The sequence below is a fragment of the Homo sapiens genome, chromosome 8, assembly GCF_000001405.40.
Source record: "Homo sapiens chromosome 8, GRCh38.p14 Primary Assembly".
Taxonomy (NCBI): domain Eukaryota; kingdom Metazoa; phylum Chordata; class Mammalia; order Primates; family Hominidae; genus Homo; species Homo sapiens.
The window spans coordinates 139,281,514-139,288,263 of NC_000008.11; the positions used below are offsets into that span (position 1 = coordinate 139,281,514).

At 45.9% G+C, this 6,750-nt stretch overlaps 1 annotated feature.

Annotated features, from left to right (window-relative positions):
* Positions 507 to 1,061: an enhancer, noted in NCBI's record as "OCT4-NANOG hESC enhancer chr8:140294263-140294817 (GRCh37/hg19 assembly coordinates)". NCBI's record gives its function as "activates a minimal SCP1, AML or CMV promoter by ChIP-STARR-seq in naive H9 embryonic stem cells {active_cell/tissue: H9 hESC(naive)}" and the evidence as "EXISTENCE:reporter gene assay evidence [ECO:0000049][PMID:30033119]".

Consider the following 6,750-nt stretch of genomic DNA (forward strand, 5'->3'; position numbering starts at 1 on the left):
ACCACAGGTACCTTCCAGAAGATGGAAAAATGAAATTGCCACTCACCTCACACCTCTGGAAAGAATGCAGCCCTGCCAACACCTTGATTTCAGTCCAGTGACACCTGTTTAGGACTTCTGACCTCCAGAGCTGAAAAATACTACATATGTATTGGCTTAAGTCACTGAGTCTGTGATTTGTTACAGCATCAATAGAAAACAGATTTGGTAACTGTCCCTGTTGAGACAGCATTCAGATGCCCATGATGAGGAGAGAACAGAGGGCCCTCGGTGCCAACAAGAAGGAGCAGGGACAAGCAGCAGAGAAAAGATGCCTTTGTCAAGGGTGACCATGCAAGAAGTCACCTGACTTTCCCCCTCCCTCTTTCCTGCCCCACTCCTGCAGTCCACATGGATTCACACAGGGAAGAAGGACACAAGAGGTGTTCGTGGGGTCGGTGGTGGAGGGTTGGGGGGCATGTTCTTCCTTCCCAAGCCAAATTGCTGGAGACCTGTGGGAGTTCAGTCAGGCTGATGGGAAAAATTTTAAGGTGAAGTTATAGGATATAGACACAAATCTTCTTGGAAGGCCAGAAGGTTTCTGCAGAAGTCTCAGGATAGGGTTATGGCTGAAAGTAGCCTAATCCTTACCTTGAGTAAATAACTTAGAGTAGATACATAGGAATGTAGAGGAGTTTATCTAAATAAATTGTTTACTCTGGTGGTCCTAAAACTAACCTTTGATCATTCACGGGCAGGATGGCTCTCTCGCTGTTGGGGTTGGGGGGCGACCAGGTTGAAGGCTGATTACCCTCTAATGGTGTTGACTCAAAGTCTTTGTCATTTAATGTGTGCTGAATAAATGCCAGCAGGGCCAGCTAGTCAGGGCAGCAGCTGCAACTCTTTACAGTACTCTCCTTGGAGTCTGTAAGTGGCCTGGACCCTCAGCTGGACTGACAAGCATAGTATCTGTGTCAGTGTATGTTATTCATCCGCTGTTGGGTCAGGGTCTGTGGGACAGACCCCAGCAGAGAACCACACTCTCCTACTCTGGGGGTAAAGGAAAGGAGGAGGACTCTGCATCTAATAAGAAATCTAAGTTTTGAAATGCCATGGACTGGTTGTCTACTGGAGAAACACGCAGGTGAAAGGACACAATGTCTAGGATTGGCCTCTCAGTACAGCCCCACACCTGCCCCCCACAAAAAAAAATCAGGGGGACGATGGGACAAAATGAGTAATGATAATCACTGAAGCTTGGTATTGGGAACACTGTCCTATTAGCTCTGCTTTTGTTCATGTTTGGAAATTTCCATAGTAAAAGGGTATACATATTTCTAGAGTTAGGAACCAGAAATTCCATGAGTTTGTCAATTCATGTGGGACCTGCAAAAATGAGAAATGGAGATGTAGTAATAGAAAGAAAATAGAATTGTTGATTTTTAAAAGAACAGAACAGGCTTAAAATCAGGAAGTGATTGGTCAAATTGGCTTGAAATGCTTATAACAGAGCCTGTTACTGGGGGAAGGAGCTGCAACCCCAGAGATCAACATAAATTGTTTACTAGGGCCCCACATCCAAAATAAATTATGACTCACCTCTTCTTTGGATTCTTGTCATCTTGTCAGTGAAAAAGAAAAAATATACGTGAAATGATTACAAACATAAAGAACATATGTGCAATTTCCCCATGAGTTTATTTTCATGTTTTAAAAAACAAAGACAACATTTGGTTCAAACAGTGAGGTGTGGGGCTGCAGATTATCTGGAATCACCAAAGGTGCTAAGACACAAGGGATAAAAAAATGTGATTAGATTCACTTCTAAGCCATAATACAAATTCCAGGCATTAGAAATTTCTAAAGTTATTTTCACTCACTAGCATATCTACAAGTGATATGTATTCATTGCAGAAAAATTACAAAATTCAGACAGAAAAGAAACAATTATCCCACCCGGACCCCATCACCAAAAAGTAAATCATAATTTTGACTTATAGTATACCCTTGTAGACCATTTCCATATATTAAATTAATATTCAAATGGCATAGACAACCCTTGTCTTTACTGCGGCACCCAGCCTCTCTATACAGTGGGCTCTGCTTTTCATCAAGCTTGCTGGATAGAGGTTGTCTTCTGTAAAATCTAGGTCTTGCCAGGGTTTGGCCGAGCCTCACTTTTTAGCTATTCCCAACTTCATAGGAAAAGGTTTCTATGACAAACCTAATACGTTAACAGGTTTCTCAGAGAAGGGGGAACAGGAAGGAAAGTATCTCGCCGTGGTTGAAGCAGAAGCCAGAGGTTCCATGTTTGGGCCCCAGTGGTTCTAACTGGGCACTAAGTCAGCTTCCAAGGGTGAGAACGCCAGCCTAATAGACACTTCTCAGAGAACTAAGCTTGGCCACTCTTGAGGTGACCTTGCAAATACTTTAGTTTCTTTCATTTTGCAAATGAGGAACCCGGGACGCAGAGAAGGGAAGAGAGAGGCCCAAGAGCAGGCGACAGATCAGAGGGGCACGGACTGCAGAAGAGAGACCCTGGCACCGCTTGATGCCACCTTCATGGAGCCCCACGCTGCCGCCCTGCACCTCTGCAAGCAGGCGCACAGGCCTGGGGGAGAACAGGGACTCTGGATGTGGGCCTCCGCATGGGGTCCCCCAAGCCACAGCTTGTCTTCCCCAAGGTCTCCTTGCCTGGCTCCTCCATCCCCCCAACCACTGCCCTCACTGTCTCCACCCAGCTCAGTCCTTCCCTCTAACAAGAGCACATGCCCAGAACACCCCTGCACCACCACCTTCACCCTCTTCAGGACGTTTGACCATTCGGAGAAGCTCTGATATCACAGATGCATTGACCCCCGCCTTTGTAGGAAACACACCATCTCATCTTTGACTTTTCTTGCTGCATCCACTCTTGACAGGTGCCCCAGCCCAACCTCACTCCGTTCCTGATTCTTGGTCTATCCCCTACCCCCACCTGGGCTTTAACACTGGAAGTGGGGCTGGGACAGAATGTCTACTGCACACAAGACTTAAAGGTAAAAAGGGAAAACTGAACCACAAACCTTGTTTATTTGGGATGGCATCAACACAGCCCTGTTGCTGAGGCAAAAAGGCCACATCTGAACACCCCGTCAACCTTCCCCCTGCCCACCACTGTCCTTTGTGTCTGTGAGGCTGTGAGTTATGGAAGACTGGGGCCTTTCCTTCTTCCAGGTCAAATTTCCAGCCTCTTTGCAGGGCCTTGCACAAACACCATCCTCCATAAAACAGCACCACCACCCTATTTGCTCTTTAGCCCCCAGCCTGCTTTGTTTTATTCTTTAGCCTTTATTGGCAATTATGATGCAATCTATTTGTGCACTTATTACTTTAATATCTGTCCCCTCACATGGCAGGTGGCTCTTTTCCTCATTACTGTATTCTCAGTACCTGCAAAGTAGTTGGGCACAGGGTAGACCTGTCTATAAATAACTACTCTATAAATGGACAACTGAATGAATGAGTGATTGAACTTAATCAATGGTGTATTCAGTTGACAGCCTGTAGTATCTTGCTGTCCTTAATCATCTATGACTATAGCATAGCCCAATAAACTCATGAACCATATAGAAGAGGGAAGGCATACATCTCCCAGAACACCTAGCAAAACTGCAAGGTACATAGCAGGTGCTTCATAAGAACTTGAAAGTTATTACTTTTAGCTAACTTACAGAATGCATTAGGATGCATGGGTTGTTTCTTAGACATCAGATAAAATCATCCTTCCCCCTTGTTTTATAGAAAGGAAAATCAAGAAATAAGCTGAATGAATCTCCCTAATATAGCAAGAAGTGAAACGGAAACCACAATGTACAAATGAACTGTATCCAAATTGACAAATTCTATCAAATTATGAATTATTTGAATTATGAATACCACACAAAGTAAGCATAAATTGCTTTCATATAAACTTGCCGAATTTACAAATTCCAGCCAATCTGTATCTGAATCACTCTATAACTAAGCCTTGTCTGGAAACCACCTGTACACTTCCCCGTTCTGAGATGGTTCAGACGTTTTGTTCCCATGGTACTCACACTAAGCCTGGCTTAGATGGCTATCAATTCCCCTGGTGGTCTTGACAGCCCCTGGGGGCTTCAACAAAGGTAATTACCTTTTAAAACAATGGATCTTATACAGAGGATTTTGTTTAAGCCTCAGAGCCTCGAAAGCCCATGATTTCAGTGTGTTTTCCTTGATAATACCAACTTCCTCTCTGCTACATTTTCTTTTCATTTCAAGAGTAGAGAAAATTGCACATAAAGATGAGATTTTTGGTTCAAATCCATTTGTTTCTTTCCAGAAAATTGCACTCTTCTCTTTTAAGAAAATACATCTATGTCTAGCAAAACATAAGGTCGGATTTGCAATGCCTCTTTGTGTCTGAAATCCGGACTCTTCCAGTTTGGAGCAAATAATCAGTTATCTGGTGTTCTTGATCTCGTGCATGTCCAGCCTTCACCTGCCCAGGGCCTTGCTCCATGCCTGGGTCAGAGGCAGCAGCTCACAGGGGGTCAGCCATGGGGAAGGCGTCCTTCACAGGCTCTGGAGCAGCCTCCACCAATCTTCATGTTAGGGCCCACATAAAGGTAGATGCAGCAGAGACTTCAGATAATGTCTGGGAAAAGGAAGCTATGACCACATCCTGAATAAAATGCTTTTCTCCAGGGACCTGACAAGATAGCCTTAATGGGATAAAGGGCAGCCATGCCTCAATTTCCTCCAGAGGTGGGGCATGAGAAGAGTTTGGAATGGATGATCGTGATCAAGTCATGGAAATCCCTCACCCGTACTCGATCCCCGGCCATGCTCTCACCAGCCATTAGAAGGATGCTTTTAAAATATAAACCAAATTGCATCACCCTTAGTGGAAACCAGTCAAAGTCTTCCTTTTTCAAAGAAAGTCATATCTCAAGCCTTCTAAGGAGCTGAGACTACAGGCACCTGCCACCACGCCTGGCAAATTTTTGTATTTTTAGTAGAGACAGGGTTTCACCATGTTGGCCAGGCTGGTCTCGAACTCCTGGTTTCAAGTGATCCGCCTGCCTCGGCCTCCCAGAGTGCTGAGATTACAGGCATGAGCCAGTGTACCTGGCTTCTTACAATATGTTTTTCATCATCTAAAATCTCCAGTTGAATGTGAGATCCCTAAGAGCTGGCGCTGATGATTTGTTCCCTGGCCCCTTCTCAACCTCATCACACTCGACTTGCTCCAGCACCACTGTTCTTCCCAGACACCAATCTCTCCCGGCTCTAGAGTCTCGCTTGCTGCTCTGTCTTCCAGTGTCTTCCCCCTTCACCTTGTTTAGGTCTCCTTCCCTGACCACCTTTTTCACCAACACCCACATCACACCCCATCTCCTTACCCTGTTTGTCTTTCCTTTACAGTAATCATCACTTCTTACAATATATTTTTTGTTTGTTTGTTTTCATTTTGCTTTGTTGGAAACACAGTCTCACTCTGTCACCCAGGCTGGAGTGCAGTGGCATGATCTCAGCTCATGGCAACTTCTGCCACCCAGGTTCAAGCAATTCTTCTATCTCAGCCTCCCGAGTAGCTGGGACTACAGGCGCACACCACCACACACAGCTAATTCTGAAAGAAGGTTTTAAAGATCCTCTTTTTCTTCTAAGATTCTTTGATTTCTAAAAAGCTTGTGGGACAGAAAGCTGAAAACTAAAATTCAAGCAGTTCAGAGTTCCCTTCTGCCTTGAAGAAGAAAAAATAGTGTCTCTTCCTATTTCCCATTCAATTTAACTGAACCAAAAGGGACTGCCACTAACTCGCACTTCTCAAAGCCACCTGGACACACTTAGGGTCAGTTTCTTTGCACACGTGCAGCCCAGATGTTTAAGAGGATAGAAGGGGCCGGGCGCAGTGGCTCATGCCTGTAATCCCAGCACTTTGGGAGGCTGAGGCAGGCAGATCATGAGGTCAGGAGATTGAGACCACCCTGGCTAACATGCTGAAACCCTGTCTCTACTAAAAATACAAAAAAATAGCCAGGCTGGTGGCAGATACCTGTAGTCCCAGCTACTCAGGAGGCTGAGGCAGGAGAACGGCGTGAACCCAGGACGTGGAGGTTGCAGTGAGCAGAGATTGCACCACTGCACTCCAGCCTGGGCGACAGAGTGAGACTCCGTCTTAAAAAAAGAAAAAAAAAAAAAGAGGATAGAAGGATACATCAAGATGAATAAAAGACTCTCAGATCTTGAGCCCCCTGCCCACTCCTGCCCTTGGCTGTGTTCCCTCCTTCTGGGATTTCTGGCATCCCTATGAGTAACCTACACACATCACGGATCAGCTGCCCTTCTCACAACCAACTGGCAACCTCAGGCCTCCACAGCACCCGGACCTGATGCCGTGATGATGAGGCTTCTGTGGCCTCTCTGTCATGCGGTTCCTGCTATCCAGGCTGCCATGGTGCCCTGGCCTTGCTGTTCCCTGAGTGAGAGATTCATCCCCACTGCCCAAGGACATCGTCCCCATGATCCTCATGGGCCTGTCTCTTTAGAAGTGAGAAGGAGAAAGTCTGTGCAGAAGACAGGAGGAGCAGGGGGCCGCCATCTGCACTCTGGCTCCCTTTCCAGTCCCACCTTTGCCACTTGGGTCACGCTGCACATCTGACCTCTCTCCTACCCTTTTTTGAGCCTCAAGGCTCAGAGGGATACAGCGTGACTTGCTCTCATCACCTCGTTCTTCTTGTCCCTGGTATGCTTACTGTGAGC